General features: G+C 39.5%; 1 protein-coding gene across 4 annotated transcripts in view, besides 1 other annotated feature; it reads right to left on the bottom strand.

Annotated features, from left to right (window-relative positions):
• RGS20 (regulator of G protein signaling 20) overlaps window positions 1-10,762 on the bottom strand; it is a 107,509-nt gene extending 96,747 nt beyond the window's left edge. For all 4 annotated transcript variants that reach the window (NM_170587.4, NM_001286673.2, NM_001286675.2 and 1 more), the window contains exon 1: window positions 10,493-10,762. In NM_170587.4, the coding sequence (NP_733466.1) occupies window positions 10,493-10,657 (165 nt within the window). In that variant the 5' untranslated portion in view covers window positions 10,658-10,762. The remainder of the gene's footprint in view (window positions 1-10,492) is intronic.
• Window positions 17,877-17,926: an enhancer, noted in NCBI's record as "active region_27361". NCBI's record gives its function as "activates an Ori minimal core promoter by ATAC-STARR-seq in GM12878 lymphoblastoid cells {active_cell/tissue: GM12878}" and the evidence as "EXISTENCE:reporter gene assay evidence [ECO:0000049][PMID:35858748]".

Genomic DNA, 18,045 nt, shown 5'->3' with positions numbered 1-18,045 from the left:
AGCCACCATGCCTAGCCCTCCAGCTAATTTTTTATAAAGCAGGAGGTTTTGAAGTGAAGACAGAACCAAGGAACGCTGCACCTTCTCTGTGATCAGAAGTAGAAGCCAGCAGGATTTGCATCACGCTGGAGTGTGGTTTCTGAGGAGGGGCTGGAAGTAGCCCTGAACCCCAAGTCTCCCACCTGCTCAGATTTTATATGGTCCAAATTACACTACTCAGGTTCATTCTTGTGGATCTAATATGAGTGTTCCCTGTAGATTTCATGAGCAGGAGTGATGTATGAATTCATTTACATCTAAGTGCATTTGAATTTGAACTTTTGTTTCTTTTTTTAAAGGGAGAAACTAGGCCAGAATGAGAGAATGAGGTTCCTAGGGTATGTCTGTGGATGTTGGCGAAGAGTCCAAGGTGAGGGGTGGGTGAGAGAGAGGGGAGGCAAACTTCTCTTAACTTCTAGTTTGGTCCAGGCTAACGACCAGGGGCCTGAGGGACCCTCCTTTGCCTCCTGTTCCTCACACCCTCCTCACCTTCACTCTGCTTATCTTCAGGGTAGCAAAGAATCCATGTGGGGCAATGGTTGGCCCCCCCAAAGCTTGGACTCCCCACGGGCCAACAAATGATGGGAGATGTGTGGCTTCTCCAAAACTGCAGCTCTGGGAAAGGGGAAGCTTAGAGATCTTAATGATGCTAATAAGTTGGTAAAAATAATCAGGTGCAGGTATTTTTAAGACAAGGCAAAAACAGAAAAAAGGAAGCAATAGTACCTGGATTTTATTTGCTGATCATAAGCTTACTTTTTAATCCAGCAAACTTGTTCTTCAACAAAACTGTCTGTAAAATTAATTGCATGTCCTCCTGATACGATGTTGATGGTAATAATACTTTCTCTTCAAATGAAAACTTCAAAAATATATCCTTCAGAACATGATCCTCTGGGCAAATGGTCACAGATGAAAGCCTTAAATACAACTCACAGAAGCAGAGACAGCAGATTTATTACAGAATTCGGAAATGCAGTGTGACATTGGTAGTATCAACTGCTTTGATCATTTCTTTCAAGTAATGTTTTATTCATTTCATTTGGTCATATTTTGCTCAACTATTTTTATGTAACTTCACACAATCTATATATTTTGTTGATAACTTACAGGTAAAAATATTCATTTATTAGTGTGGGTGTTTATCCGATGACCCACACTGGGTCACGCTGACTCAAGAGAGGACAGAGGGTCACACAAGAACTTCACAGCTTGTGTCCCCTAGGGGCTGAGGGTCTGCTGACTCTAGTTTTGTGGGGCTTATCCACAGATACTTTGCAGAATGTCTGGTGGTGGGAATAGGAGATAAACAGAGAAGATGTGTAGAATTATCTCTGAGGCGTGATTACAAAGCTTGTGGGTGATAGATATAAAAATGCCAGGCCTCAAATATCTAAATCAGGGCTGTCTACTTCAGGTGTCATCGTTGATTTTGGAATCCCATAAGTTGGTTTAAAGTTGCAATCACTCAAAATATGTGCTGGACAACCCCTTAAGATTGTCTTACAACCTAAAGAACAGCTAGGGCTGATTGATCTTTTTTTTTTTTTGGAGACAGGGTCTCACTCTGTTGCCCAGGCTAGAGTGCAGTGGTGTGATCTTGGCTCACTGTAGCCTCTGCCTCCTGGGTTCAGGCAATTCTCCTGCCTCAGCCTCCTGAGTAGCTGGGATTACAGGCATGTGCCACCACACCCAGCTAATTTTTGTATTTTTTAGTAGAGATGGGGTTTCACCATGTTGGCCAGGCTGGGCTCGAACTCCTGACGTCAAGTGATCCACCTGTCTTGGCCTCCCAGAGTGCTGGGATTAGAGGTGTGACCCACTGCGCTCAGCAGGGCTGATGGATCTTGAGACAGAGACCACATCTATACTGGGCCAGATCCTCTCTCCTGGGAATTTGGAATGAGAACATGGAGCCACAGCTATTAGAGGCAGTTTGCTGGTGTTAAACTATCTTCCACAGATTCCTGGTCTGAGGTTCCTGGGCTGCTAGCCTCCTGCCTCCTTGCTATTTCCTTTTGTCTTCTAGTCATATGCAATTTGAACAGACAGTTACAAAAACGTGTTGAGACAATGTCTTGCATATTTTAGTTCATTTCCAGTCTTATTTTGAATAAAAGTTCTTAGAATGATCTATCACTTGAATATAAATCCTTACAATTTTTAGTGTTGAGAATTCGAAATCATATAAGCCAAATATAGTCTTATGGGAAAACATATTTGGTTACATAGTTGATGTCAAATCAAATTACTTTTGTAGTCTGTGATTTGGGTTTCTTTCTTGAATATTTGAATATATTCCAGTTGTCACTATATGGTTTAAACTATTATCCTTTCAACATATTTGCTTCATCTTAAAATTTCATTTTTCAGTCATTTGAAATGCAGGAGCTGTAAAACCATTCTATAGATGTTTCTAAAATAAACTCTTAAGTGACACAAGCTTGATTTGGATCACCTTTTCTCATAGAATGGAAATAAATGGTTTCTAGAGAACCTAGAAAAACAAGTTTACTCCCCGATATGGTTTGGCTGTGTCCCCACCAAAATCTCATCTTGAATTGTAGCTCCCATAATCCCCATATGTCATGGGAGGGACCCGGTGGGAGGTAACTGAATAGTGGGGGTGGGTTTTTCCCATGCTGTTCTCATGATAGTGAATAAGTCTCATGAGATCCGACGGCTTTATAAAGGGCAGTCCCCCTGCACACGCTTTCTTGCCTGCCACCATGTAAGACATGCCTTTGCTCCTCCTTTGCCTTCCACCATGATTGTGAGGGCTCCTCAGCCATGTGGAACTGTGAGTCCATTAAACCTCTTTTTCTTTATATATCAACCAGTCTCGGGTATTTCTTCACAGCAGTATGAAAATGGACTAATACACTCCCTGAGTTTCCCAATATAGTTTATTCACATCTTTATCTTGCAAGAGGGTAAAACTTTAATGTAAATTTTCTAAAACATTTGCAGTGATTCTGTGGCTTTGTGAAGACTGGCTTGATTTCAGCAGGGAAGCCAACATGATTTTATGAGACTTTTGAACAATGGTAATGATACTAGATATATTTTTCTGTAACCATTAAAACCATTTAAAATCTGAGAGTTGTAAAATCAATGAAAAGACAAACAAACCAGTATACTAAAGCTAGCCAGGATTTTTGCAGTATGCTTCTTTGATTTTCATATGGGATATTTTTTGCCATTTAAAATATTCCCCAAAAGGTCAAGATGATTTGTGCAGTTACTGAATGTTTGCTAGACAGCATACACAACAGCTTCCATTGTGGTGTATAAATAGAATATGAAAAGTTTGTTCGTTTGTTATTTAAATTTAAAGGTACATCGTAAGCTCTAGTCTTTGGGATTCTTAAAAACAAATGTATTATGTTAATTTTCAAAATACAAAAAATCTGAGTGACTATCTTCATGAACCCTCATGTCCATCACCCAGTTTCAATAATTAAGAACACATTGTCAAGTCTGCATTATCTCTTACACTCCTACTTTCCTCCTCCCCTGGATTATTTTAAGGCAAATCAAAGACCACATCTCTCTTCTGAAAACCCTTTCAGTACTTCCCACTTCCTCTGCCCCACCCCCCGCGGTTTTTTTTTTTTTTTTTTTTAAACATAACCCCAGTTCCATTGCTGGATATTTTTCAGACAGTCAAGGAGGCATTGGACATGGCCTACAGGTTAAAAAAAATGGGGCCACATTAACTGCAGCAAATAATCTTTTGAGCTTGCCCCAGCTGATCACCGGAGACCCTTCTCCACCTTCCTTGCTTGGGGGCGTCTCAATTGTTTCTAAAACCTCCAGGGTGAATCAGTATCATGTGCCATCGCCCTTTTCACTCTTCCCTGCCTCTCTTTCTTCAGCAATGCCACCTCTGGCTCTTTGCAATATTACATTGACTTTTTTCAAGCCAATGTATATCTGAAAAGCACAAATACACATTATGCTTTCTTTCGGGTATGTGTACATAGAGGTTTTTAAAAGGATGTGTGTGTGTGTGTATATATATATATGTATATATATATGCATCCATTTCTGATATAAAGAATGCTTTATTTTTTATTTATAGTCACCAGAGTTTTCTAATTATGACCTCTCCTGCGGGCCTTACTGCAGTGAGATACTAGCCTGTTTCATTGATAGAATGGTTTTCAATTTTTCCTGTTCAGATTCTTAATCAGAATTGTAAGTGGAGTGTACAGGTGCTCAGATTAGAGCCCAGTGGATGGTGTGGTGAAGGCTGCCAGTGTAATCCCAAACGCTGGGACTACAGACGTGAGCCACCACATCTAGCCGCCATTTACTTTTAAGTTGATCACCATTTCATTTTTTACTTTGAAAGGCATTAGCTGGTATCTTAGGTGCTTAATTAATGTAAGGGATTGTCCAAGTTAGCTATATAAGAATAGTCTCTGGGATGATAATAAGTACCTTTTATGACAAGATGAAACACTATTTTATTTTATTTTTTTATTTTTATTTCTAATTCACACATAATAATTGCATATATTTATGGGGTACAATGTGATGTTTTAATATTTGTATACATGGTAGAAACCTTAAATAAAGCTAACATATCCATCATCTCATCTATTTTTTTTTTGTGATGAGACAGTTAAAAATTTGCTTTTTGCAACTTTGAAATATACATGATTACAAGCTAAGTATTCCTTAAACAAAATGTTTGGAACCAGAAGTGTTTTGGATTTCAGATTTTTTTCAGCTTTTGGAATATTTGCATTATATTTACTGGCTTGGCATCCCGAATCTAAAAATCCAAATCTGAAATGCTCCAATGAGCATTCCTTTTGAATGTCATATCTGCACTTAAAAAGTTTCAGATTTTGGAGCATTTTGCATTTTGGACTTTCAGATTAGGGATGCTCAAGCTGTGTTAACTACAGTCACCATACTGTAGAATAGATCACTAAAATTTATTTCTCTCATCTCACTGATACTTTGTGCCCTTTGACCAACATCTTCCCTTTCTCCATCCCCCCTCTTTTTTTGTTCTTAATATCACATGGATTGTCCTGGGTTCTGTGAGCTTAGAGGCTGAATAATTGAAGACCTTTTTTCACTTTCCCAAAGAGCATACCCAAGGTCTTCCTTATGGTCTCCATCAAAGGAAGACCAAGTAAGTACTGCTCACTGAGAACCCAAGGACCTGAGCCACAAGGCCTGTGGAGCCACATCCCCTTGGCCTCACTTGGGAAGACCCTGCAGCAGGTGCCAGAGGAGACAGCCACTGAACATGTGCATGCTAGCCACGGCAGAGAGAAGTATGGCTGACTTCCAAATGAGCCCTTTCCTCAATAGGTTTGTGAACATCTCAAGTGTTAAACTACTTACTATGGAATTATTTTTGGAGCGCCTTCAGGAAAATAAGAAACAACTTTATTCTTCTCAGTGAACTTACTCTTTCACAAATGGAGGCAGGACAGAATAATTCTGTCTTCTGAATACACTTATGGTAAGGTGTTTGGCCAACAGGCGTACTTGCTCTCTTACTAAGCTGTTTTTCCTTTCTTCTTTCCTCTATCATTTTCATCACACAAGGCTCCATTGTCTTTGTAGCTGCCCTTTGGTGCCTTGAGATTTATTTTCTCATTTCTGTGTATAAGGTCTCAAAATAAGTGCTTTGATCAGCTGCTCAAGGGATCACATGTCTGGAACAGCAGAGCACTCAGAAGCCCACACTTTCAGAAGGGCATTGACTTTGGAATGGGCTGAAAAATAACCTTGTGGAAACAGCTCTCTTGTCTAAGCTCTGACCATGTTTATAATTAAGAAAGAATGCACACACATAAACATATATATCTATATTGACAGAGTTGACTTATCACTAGAGCAGCTGTAATGCTTTCTCTTCCTCATGTCGATTGTCTAGAAAAACTGCTGGCTAGAGTTCACCCGCCCTCCCACTTGCATTCTTGCCCTGAAAGGAAACAAAAATCCTGATGGAAGAAAAAAGAAATCTGATCAGCCGGGCACGGTGGCTCACGCCTGTAATCTCAGCACTTTGGGAGGCCAAGGCAGGTGGATCACATGAGATCAGGAGTCTGTGACCAGCCCAGTCAACATGGTGAAACCCTGTCTGTACTAAAAATACAAAAAAAAGTAGCTGGGGGTAATTGTGGACGTTTTTAGTCCCAGCTAGTTGGGAGGCTGAGGCAGGAGAATCACTTGAACCTGGGAGGTGGAGGTTGCAGTCAGCTGAGATCACGCCACTGCACTCCAGCCTGGGCAACAGAGCAAGACTGAGTCTCAAAAAAAAAAAAAAAAATTGAAAAATAAATAAATAATCTGATGAAGACAAGTGTGTGAGTGTATGTGCAGGTGCGTGGGATTTTGTAGTTTATTTTGTAGTAAATTAGTGGCCCATGTTGGAGTATTTTGGGCAGAAATCATACAGAAAGTACTATGAAGAAGACTGACTTCAAGCCCAGGAAACTACAGTCCACTTTTTAAATCACTGTCAGAAGCTATCAAATACTTATTGAAATCAGTGTCAGAAAATCCAGATTCAAATCACCTCTCAGCTGACTTCACATATGCAACCAATAGTATATCTAAACTTGTTTTCTCATCTCTAAAACAGGTCAGACCACATCAATGCTATTAACCCAAGGAGCCAAATGAAAAGAACAACTGGAATAACCACAACAATAAATGTAGGTGATTTGTGTGTCATATTGTCAGTTTAACCTGCCTTTAGAGGTTTGCTTTTTAAAATTGTTTATTTTGAAATAATGCTATAGTCATAGGAAATCACGTGCACAGAATGTACAGAGTGGTCCCGTGTACTGATCACCCAGTTTCCCTCAATAGAGACTGCATAACTGAAGAACAATATCAAAACCAGGAAATGACATTGGTACCATTCACAGAGCTTCTTCAGAGTTCACTCATTTCTGTGTGTGCACGTGTATAGTTTCATGCAATTTTAGCACATTACACATGTAATGTGTGTAACTGCCACTGCAGTCAAGACACAGAACTGGTTCATCACCACCAGGCTCCCTTTAAAGTATGACCCCTTTGTAGCTATATCCACCACCCTACCTAATCCCTAATCTTTGGCAACCATGAATATGTTCTCTACGTCTATAATTTTATTTCAAGAGTGGCTTATATAGGCTGGGCATGGTGACTTATGTCAGTAATCCCAGCACTTTGAGAGGCCGAGGTGGGCGGATCACTTGTGGTCAGGAGTTCAAGATCAGCCTGACCAACATGGTGAAACCCTGTCTCTACTAAAAATACAAAAATTAGCTGGGTGTGGTGGCACGTGCCTGTAGTCCTAGCTTCTTGGGAGGCAGAGGTGAGAGAATCGCCTGAACCCAGGAGGCAGAGGTTGCAGTGAGCCGAGATTGCCCCACTGCACTCCAGCCTGGGCGACAGAGCAAGACTCCGTCTCAAAGAAAAAAAAAGAGTGGCTTATATAGAATCATACACATATATATAGTGTGTGACTTTTTGGAATTGGCTTTTTCTCCCCCACTCAGCACCATTCCCTAAAGTTTATCAAGTTGTTTCGTGTATTAGTAGTTCATTCCTTTTAGTGGCTTCATAGGATTCCATAGTATGGATGTACCACAGTTTGTTTAATCATTCATCCCTTGAAGGGCTTTTGGGTTGTTTCTGGTTTTTGACTATTACAAATAAAGCAGCTGTGGACATTGGCATACAGGGTTGGTGCAAATGTAGGTTTTCATTTCTCTGGGATAAATGCCTAATGGTGAAATTGCTAGACCATATGGCAGTTGTATCTTCAGGTTTATGAGAAACTGCCAAATTGTTTTCCAGATTGGCTGTACTATTTTACATTCCTATCAGCAATGTATTAATGATTCAGTTTCTCTGCATCCTTTCCAGCAGTTGGTGTTGTCACAATTTTAGCCATTTTAGCAATTCTAGCCATTTTTATAGTCACTATTTTTTTCCATTTTAGCTATTCTTCTCGGTGTGTAGTGATATTTCACTGTGACTTTAATTTGCATCTCCTAGTGGCTAACAATGTTGACTATCTTTTCATGTATTTATTTGCCATCTGCATATTCTCTTCAGTAAAATGGCTGTTCATGTCTTTTGCCCATATTCTTGTTGGATTGTTTGTCTTTTACTTTTGAGTTTTGAGAATTATTCTAGGTTCAAGGTGTTTGGCAGACATGGGGGTGAAAGTATTTTCCTGCCATCTGTATGCTGTCTTTTACCCTCTCAATAGAGTCTTTGGCAGGACAAAAGTTTTTTAGATTCTAATGAAGTCTTATTTATTGATTTTTTTTCTTGAACGGATCATGATTTTTTGGTGTCTGTGTATTCTTCACCTAGCCCTACCTCATAAAGATTTTCTCCCATTTTTTTCCTAAAAGTTCTATAGTTCTCCGTGTAGTTGTAAATTTAAGCCCATGTTATATTTGGGGGTAATTTTTGCATGAACTGCAAAGCTTAGGTTGAGGATTTTTGGAGAATTTCTGACTGACCCCTTGACGTCTAGATACATTTTAGCTCACGTTCCCTCTTTCTGCCTCTATATATGTTCTTAGACATTATTTCACGTCTACCTTAGATTTCACTGCTTTCACTCTAACACTGGGCTTCTTCAATTGTCTTACCCCATAGTGATCATATTCCTCCCCTAATATCTTACTGATTGAAAGAATATACAATAATTATGTAGGTATCTTATGTTATTGACATGAGTCATGCTGATAATATGCTATATGTTTGTCTTTCTCAATACACAGTAAGTCTCTAGAAAGGAGGGAGCATATCTTGCTCTTTCTCTTTATTCCCTATGGCTCCTAGCCCAAGGTTTTGCAGTTAGTAAGGATTCAATGGTATCTGCAGACTCAAAATGAGTTGAGTGTTTCCATCCTTACATTTGCTAGATGAGGCACATGTCTCCTCTTTCTGTATTCAAATGCAATATAAAAAGATTTTTTCAAAAGGCAAAAACTGAGTGAAGGAGCCAGTAGCATCCCAACTGGATTGCTTCCTTCTACCCTCACCTGCTGCTGTACAGACTGGAACCTGTTAACAGGTTAGTGAGGTTAGGATAGAAGTTAGGCTGCCCAGCACCAGCATGTGTGGTCGATTCCAGGATGCCATGGGAAGGTGTAATACTGATTCTTAAATATTTTTGCATTTTATTTGTCTTTGATTCCACTTAGAGCATACCTTCTCAAGATAGTTAGAACTTTGAAATTATATATATGTGTGTGTGGGTGCATATACATACACACATATACAACAGCATACATATGCACCATACAATGGGTATATTTGTTGTTGTTGCTCTCTGTTTCCTCAAAGTAGCCTCCACATTCTGCCTTTTAGAAATATCTTTTGCATGTGTCGCCTACATTAAGATGTCCATTAATTCAGGACTCTTGGACACTACATCCCATTTCATTGCAGCTTGCTAAACTCTTAGTGCTTAGATGATAATAGGCGGTGTGGGAATTCATGTGTTATTTGTTCACATATGTCTGAAAGCTCAAAAGAACAGGTCCGTATATTTTTACAGAAAAAGCTTTGTGTTGACCCTTTTTATTTTTTTTTTCCCCTCCACTTGTGCCAAATGGTTAAAATAACATTAGGAGAAAGGGCAGACCTAGAGAATTTTGTAAAGAATTTGCAAATAAATAATGATATCAGGATATGAGCCGCGGCAAAAGAACAGGTGAATTTTCTGGTGTTAAAGTATTTGAACAGTTTTATAGTTTTGCAGCATTTAATTTTGAGTGTGCTCATTGCTTGTTAGACATTAACACATGTCCATATTCTATGCCAAGTAACCTTTTATGAGATGGTTCTATTAATAGCTAAGAGGATTTACAGACTCAAACTGTATTTTTTTCAAATATACACACAACATCCAGCAGGAAAATTGTCACTTTTTGGAGAAATAATGTTATTACCTACTGATAGAAACTCATGCTTAGGAAATTCACCTTTGGAAACTTTGAATTTGGAAAAAACACCCCTCAGCTCCTTAATGTTCTTATGTTCTTAGTTTATCAATTTTTTCCCAAGGAATTTTTTGTAGAAAGCGGTCTATAATTTTTCTTTCATTATTATATGGGATGTAATATTTATATCGGAGAAAGATATCCTAGGGCTAACACTAATAGCCACAAAATCTGTCTAGATTTGTTGAATGTTATCACCTGAAACAAGCAAACAAACAAAAAAGCAATACATAATAATTTATTTTGGTAAAGGGAATCTGTTTAGATTGGAGAAAACTAGATAGATCAGGTAATTATCATCTAGGTTCTAGATTTCCCTTGGGGATGGTTTGAAAACATTTTTGATAAAACATTAAGATAAGTGAGCAATGGCACTAAAGCTTGAGTATAGTTTTATATTCTTTCTGGGTAAACACTTTCCCTTGACGGGAAAGGATCATGGATTGTGGAAATCACCTTACCTTGATATCAGGAACAGCCCTGAGGTCTCCTTCATTTTCTGTGATTTGGTGAATGTCTGTATTATATCTCTGAGCCCTGAACAGGGGCAGAAACTGTGTCCATATAGACGGCCTGGAGAAATGTTTCTGGAGGCACTCTTGGTTATCTTGGGAAAGCTGGGGCATGTTTTCACAATAAAGGCCCCAAATGAGTCCTGTTGCCTGGTTTTCCCAATATTAGCACAGGATCCACTCTGCTTCTCTTTGTTTGGTTAATGCTGGGCTGGCTCTGAATCTGTGGGGAGACTTCTCCAAAAGTTATACTAATGAAAGCAAAAGGATTACCTGCTTTGTGGATCAGCAGCTTATCCACAGATCTTTCATGTTCTATTCCTGGTAGAGCTGCTTATTTTGAATGTCTAGGTACTGTATGTTATGAGTGCCCTCTAAAGGCAGAAATGTATTCTTAATTAAAATGTAATCCTAAATCAAAATGGAAAGAAATGATCCAAGTGATATACAGCTTAGCATATAGTGATAAATTAAATAGATTGTTTGGCAAAAATTCTTGTGTTAGTGGTGTGTGATAGCCAATAGTACTTGACAATCTTGGGCTATGCAATTGACAGGCAGATGGTTGGCTTAATCTTTCCAGGTTTCTTAAAAGGTCATCTTAATAGCAGTCATCTTTGTAGCTAGTAACATATGCAAAACTCATACCCAAACTTAAACTCAAGAATTATTATTCTTTTTACATACATCATGTGGAGTAAGTTAAATTGATTTTCTTATGAGATGACTAGGTACCCAATGAGTAAGCCAAGAATTGGCTTCTAACACTATACTTCATATTTATAAACTGCTTTATAAATATAAGATTATTAAACAGAGTGGAAAAGGTAGAATACCTTTCTGTCAAGAGGCAACTAATGCCCAATAGCTTCTGTTGGGTTTGAGGGTGCACAAAGGTAAGGGATGTGTATTACTGGGGTCTATGAACTGGAAAAGTTTCCTTTTGTAAAATTGCTTTACAGATTCAACACAATGGCTATCATATGTCAGCTCCTTTCTTTTGCAGGAGTTGATAGTTGATTCTAAAATTCATATAAAATTATAAGGGGCCGGGTGCAGTGGCTCACGCCTGTAATCCCAGCACTTTGGGAGGCTGAGGTGGGTGAATCGTGAGGTCAGGAGTTCGAGACCAGCCTGACCAACATGGTGAAACCCTGTCTCTACTAAAAAAGGCTGGGCATGGTGCTCACGTCTGTAATCCCAGCACTTTGGGAGGCCGAGGCGGGTGGATCACGAGGTCAGGAGATCGAGACCACGGTGAAATCCTGTCTCTACTAAAAATACAAAAAATTAGCCGGGCGCGGTGGCGGGTGCCTGTAGCCCCATCTACTCCGGAGGCTGAGGCAGGAGAATGGCGTGAACCCAGGAGGCGGAGCTTGCAGTGAGCTGAGATCGTGCCACTGCACTCCAGCCTGGGCAACAGAGCGAGACTCCATCTCAAAAAATAATAATAAAAATAAAAATACAAAAAAATTAGCTGGGTGTGGTGGCATATACCTGTAGTCCCAGCTACTCAGGAGGCTGAGGCAGGAGAATTACTTGAACCCGGGAGGCAGAGGTTGCAGTCAGCCGAGATCATGTCACTGCACTCCAGCCTGGGTGACAGAGCAAAACTCTGTCTCAAAAAAAAAAAAAAATTATAAGGGACCCAAAATATCCAAAACAGTCTTGATAAAGAACAAAGTTGAAGGATCACACTTCCCAATTTTAAAACTTACAACAAAGCTACAGTAATTACCATTGACATTCTTCACAGAATTAGAAAAAACCATTTTAAAATTCATATGGAACCAAAAAAGAGCTTGTATAGCCAAGATGATCCTAAGCAAAAAGAACAAAGCTGGAGGCACCATGCTACCAGACTGCAAACTATACTACAAGGTTACAATAACCAAAACAGCATGGTACTGGTACAAAAACAGACCCATAGATCAGTGGAACAGAAAAGAGAACTCAGAAATAAGACCACACATCTACAACCATCTGATCATCAACAAATCTGAAAAAAAAAAAAAAAAAAAAAAAAAAAAGCAACTGGGAAAGGATTCCCTATTTAATAAATGGTGTTGGGAAAACTGGCTAGCCATATACAGAACATTGAAACTGGACCCCTTCCTTACACCTTATACACAAATTAACTCAAGATGGATTAGAGACTTAAATATAAAACCCGAAACTATAAAAACCCTAGAACAAAATCTAGGCAATACCATTCAGGACATAGGCACAGGCAAAGATTTCATGACAAAATCGCCAAAAGCAATTGCAACAGAAGCAAAAATTGACAAATGGGATCTAATTAAACTAAAGAGCTTCTGCACAGCAAAAGAAATTATCATCAGAGTGAACAGGCAACCTACAGAGTGAGAGAACATTTTTGCAGTCTATCCATCTGACAAAGGACTAATATCCAGAATCTACAAGGAACCTAAACAAAGTTACAAGAAAAAAAACAAACAACCCCATTAAAAAGTGGGAAAGGACATGAACAGACACTGTCAAAAGAAAACACTCATGTGGCCAACAAACATATGAAAAAAGCTCGACATCACTGACCATTAGAGAAATGCAAATCAGGCTGGGCATGGTGGCTCAATGCCTGTAATCCCAGCACTTTGGGAGGCCGAGGCAGGTGAGGCCAGGAGGTCAGGAGTTCAAGGCCAGCCTGGCTAACATGGTGAAACACTGTCTCTACTAAAAATACAAAAATTAGCTGGGTGTGGTGGCTCATGCCTGTAGTCCTAGCTACTCAGGATACTGAGGCAGGAGAATTGTTTGAACCAGGGAGGTGGAGATTGCAGTGACCCGAGATTACGCCACTGCACTCCAGGCTAGGTGATAGAGCAAGACGCTGTCTCAGGGAAAAAAAAAAAGAAGAGAGAAATGCAAATCAAAACCACATGAGATACCATCTCTCACAAGTCAGAATGGCAATTTCTTAAAAAGTCAAGAAACAACAGATGCTGGTGAGGTTGTGGAGAAATAAGAATTCTTTTGTACTGTTGGTGGGAATGTAAATTAGTTCAACCATTGTGGAAGACAGTGTGGCAATTCCTCAAAGATCTAGAACCAGAAATACCATTTGACCCAGCAATCCCATTACCGGGTATATACCCAAAGGAATATAAATCATTCTATTACAAAGATACTTGCAGCACATGTATATTCATTGCAGCACTATTCTCAATAGCAAAGACATGTAATCAACCCATATGCCCAACAATGATAGGCTGGATAAAGAAAATGTGGTTCATATACACCATGGAATATTATGCAGCCATAAAAAGGAATGAGATCATGTCCTTTGCAGGGATATGGATGGAGTTGGAAGCCATTATCCTCAGCAAACAAATGCAGGAACAGAAAACCAAACACCACATGTTCTCACTTACAGGTGGGAGCTGAACAATGAGAACATGTGGACACAGGAAGGGGAACAACTCACACTGGGGCCTGTTGGGGGTGGGGTTGGGGGAGGGAGAGCATTAGGAAAAATAGTTAACGTATGCTAGGCTTAATACCTAGGTGATGGGTTGATAGGTGCCACAAACCACACGTTTACCTATGTAACAAACCTGCACATCCTGCACATGTACCTGAGAACCTAAAAATTAAAATAAAAAAATTTTAAAAAGTGACAGTAATTAAGACTGTGTGGTACTGGTATAAGGATAGGTATGTAGATGTGTAGATCAATGGGACAGAATTGAGAGTCCAGAAATAAACCCATACATTTATGGTCGATTGGTTTTTGACAATGTGCCAGAACAATTCAATGGGGAAAGAATTGTTTTTTCAGCAAATGGTGTGGGGACAAGTGGTTATCCACACGCAGAAAAATTACATAGGACCTCTATTTCTCACTCTTTACAAAAACTAATTCAGCATGAATCATAGATCAAATGTAATAGCCAAAACTATGAAACTCTGAGAAGAAAACATAAGGTTAAATCTTTCTGACCTTGGATTAGGCAAAGCCTTCTTAGATACAATATGAAAAGCACAAGAAAGTAGGTAAATTAGACTTAATCAAAATTAAAAACTTTTGTGCTTTAAAGTACATCAAGAAGAAAGTGAAAAGGCAACCCGCAAAATAGGGGAGAATATTGCAGATCATGTAAATAATAAGGGACTTGTAATCCAGAATATATACAGAGCTCTTACAATTCAAAAACAAACAAAAAATACCAATTAAAAATGGGTGAAGTGTTTAAATAAACATTTCTCCCAAGAAGATGTACAAATTGCTAAATAAGCACACGAAAAGATGTTCAACATTATTAGACATTGGGAAAAGGAAGTCAAAACCACAGTGAGATACCTATTCATACCCAAATGGATTTGCTTTAACTAAAAAGACAGACAATGACAGTGTTGGTGAGGATGTGGAGAAATGTAGATCTTTCATTCATTACTGGGGTGAATGCAAGGCCTTGCGACCACTTTGGAAAACAATTTGGCAGTTCCTCAAAATGTTAAATATAGAGTTACCACATAAGCCAGCAATTCTACTCCTAGGTATCTACTCAAATAACAGAAATGAAACCTACGATCGCACGAAGACTTGCACACAAATGTCTAAAAAATTGAAACAATCTGCATGCCCATTAACTGGTAAGCAGATAAGCAAAATATGGTACATCATACAATGGAATATTATTCAGCCATAAAAAGGAATGAAGTATAGATACATGTTGCAACATAGATAAACCTTGAAAACTTTATGCTAAGTGAAAGAAGTCATCCACAAAAGGCCACATATTGTATGATTACATTTATTAAAGAAATCTCCTGGATAGGCAAATCTTGAGATATAAAAAAATTAGTATTTGCCTAGGGCAGGGGGGTTTTTGGAGAGGAAGAAAGTGACTACTAATGGATAAGAGGTTTCTTTTTAGAGTGACGAAAATGGGCTAAAATTGATTGTGGTGATATTTGTATAGTGCTGTGAATATACTAAAAACCATTGAATTGTACCTTTTAAATGGGTGAGTTACATGGTATGTGAATTACAGCTTAACAAAGCTGTTAAATTTTCTAAAAAGAAAGGCAACTTCCTAAATTGACCAAATGTTTTCGAGTGGGGCAATAAATCTCATACATCATTGCAATTTCAGGAACCAAGCTGCAGTATAGCTGTGTTTTCTGGTGCCAGGTCTCTTGCAAGGCTGCAGTGAAGGTGTTGGCTGCTAACATTTCAAAGCTCAGCTGGGCTCACTTTCAGGCTCACCCATGCAGTTGTCCACATTTGGTTCTTTGAAGCCTGTTGGACTAAGGGCTTCAATTTTCTACTAGTTGTTCACTTGGGGCTATTCTTAGCTTGGTCACATCAGCCTCTTTATGGTTAACAACACAGCACCTTGCTTCATCAGAGTGAGCAAGTGAGAAGAACCTGGGATAATGCAAGCAAGGCAGCTTGCATTGTAACCTGATCTCAGAAGTGACATCCCTTTACTTTTGCCATTTTCTGGTCCTTATAGGAACATCAGTAGATCTAGCCCACACTCAAGAAGAGAGGATTTCACAAGGATATGAGTCATTGGGAGGTGGTGATCATTAAGAGCCATTTCAGAAGCTGTCTACCACATGGACCATATTTTTAAAATGTCAAATTGTGGAGGTTGTCCTTATGGGGCCGATGGTGCAATGCAATGAAATTAACTTACCTGAAAAATCTGAAGCTTGGTTGCCATGAGTATTCAGGACACTGGTATGGAGTGTAAGTGAAAACCAGCATGATTGATGATAGATGTGCTTTGGCAATACCAAAGCAATCAGAAGTTGTTAGGACAGTTGGTTAGAGCACTTTGTGAAGGGGTCATGACGTCACTACTCAGTGTTACCATTAGGCCAAACTAGGCCAGCTTCTTGCAAATGCCTATTGTTCCCAAGGAGACTGTGTGAAAGAATGGAAAAACCATTCTTCCATTAAACTAATAATTTATTCAGTCAGCTATAAAAACTTCTCAAAGTCCTTGTGTAACTGAAGGTAGGCTGGCAGCATAATCTTCACTTGGGGGTGGTAAGTTTTCATGACAAATATTTTAGAATAGGATTTTCTTTGACTAGAACTCTTCTACTTCTGTGGGCAAATATAAGTTCAATTCATACTTGGAAAGAAAAGATTGGAAATGATGGTGTTTATAGCATTCCATATATTTCAGACAGAAGAAATTCCTTTGAAACGTCATATATTTTCTACCTTCTGATGATTCCTAAGTGGTAGATTCCTAGTTTACATCTCCAAACATGTAATCCTATTCTAGTGAAGAATTGAACATTAACTTAATAAATACATTATTAATATTATTTTCTCCTGTCCATATAGATTCATCTAACTTCCCCTTATGTCATTTCTAAATAACAAATCTGAAGCTCAATTTCAAAGAAATTACAAAGTAGCTCAAAGGTTATCTTTCTTATGTCATAATACAGCAGTCCCCAACCCTTTTGGTACCAGGGGCCAGTTTCGAGGAAGACAATTCTTCCACAGACAGGGTGGGAGGTGATGGGGCTGGTTTCAGGATGACACTGTTCCACCTCAGCTCATCAGGCATTAGATTCTCATACAGAGTGTGCAACCTAGATCCCTTGCAATGTGCAGTTCACGATAGGGTTCATGCTTCTGTGAAAATCTACTACCGCTGCTGATCTGACAGGAGGCAGAGTTTAGGCGGTAATGGGGCTTGCCCGCCGCTCACCTCCTGCTGTGCAGCCGGGTTCCTAACAGGCCATGGACCACACCAGTCTGTGGCCCAGGGTATGGGGACCCCAGGTATGTTATATAATTAGGTAACTGAGATCACCGCTATGGTCTGTGTCTCCCCAAAATTCCTGTGTTGAAATCCTAACTCCCAAGGTGATGATATTAGGAGGTGGGACCTTTGGGAAATGATCAGGTCATGAGGGTGGAGCTCTCATGAATGAAATTAATGTCCTTATGAAAGAGACCCCAGAGAGCTCTCTCACCTCTCCACCATGTGAAGCTACAATGAGAAGACAGCAGTTTGCAACCTGGGACAATCCTTCCCAGAACCTCACCATGATAGCACCCCAATTCTGAACTTTCAACCTCCAGAACTGTGAGAAAATGACTTTCTGTTGTTTATAAGCCACCCAGTCTACAGCACTGTTACAGGAGCCTGAATGGACCAAGAAAAATCTCCGATAGAAGTGTTACAGAAATAATGTTAAGAGAGATAATGCCGGGAGTACCTGCCTCTTCTCTTCTCCCTACTCCAGGCAAATTGTCTGGTAATGTTGTGATGCTCGGAGAACGCCAGCCCAGGTGCCTGTGAAGCAGTCCCCTCTGCTCACTGCACTGTTCCTGATTTTGTTCCATAACTTTGTGCCTCTAGGAAAAGAGGAGAGCCTCCCGAAATCTGATGAGACTCGCTGTATCACGCCAGTCTGTGGCTTAGGTGATACAGAAAGGAAATGCGAAGATCAGGCCTCACTGCCAGCTTTGCTCAGTTACACAGAAAACATGCTGTTTCAGCTTT

The sequence above is a fragment of the Homo sapiens genome, chromosome 8, assembly GCF_000001405.40.
Source record: "Homo sapiens chromosome 8, GRCh38.p14 Primary Assembly".
Taxonomy (NCBI): Eukaryota; Metazoa; Chordata; class Mammalia; order Primates; family Hominidae; genus Homo; species Homo sapiens.
Note: the sequence above shows the minus strand (reverse complement) of the source record. Positions and strands in the feature narration are given on the sequence as shown.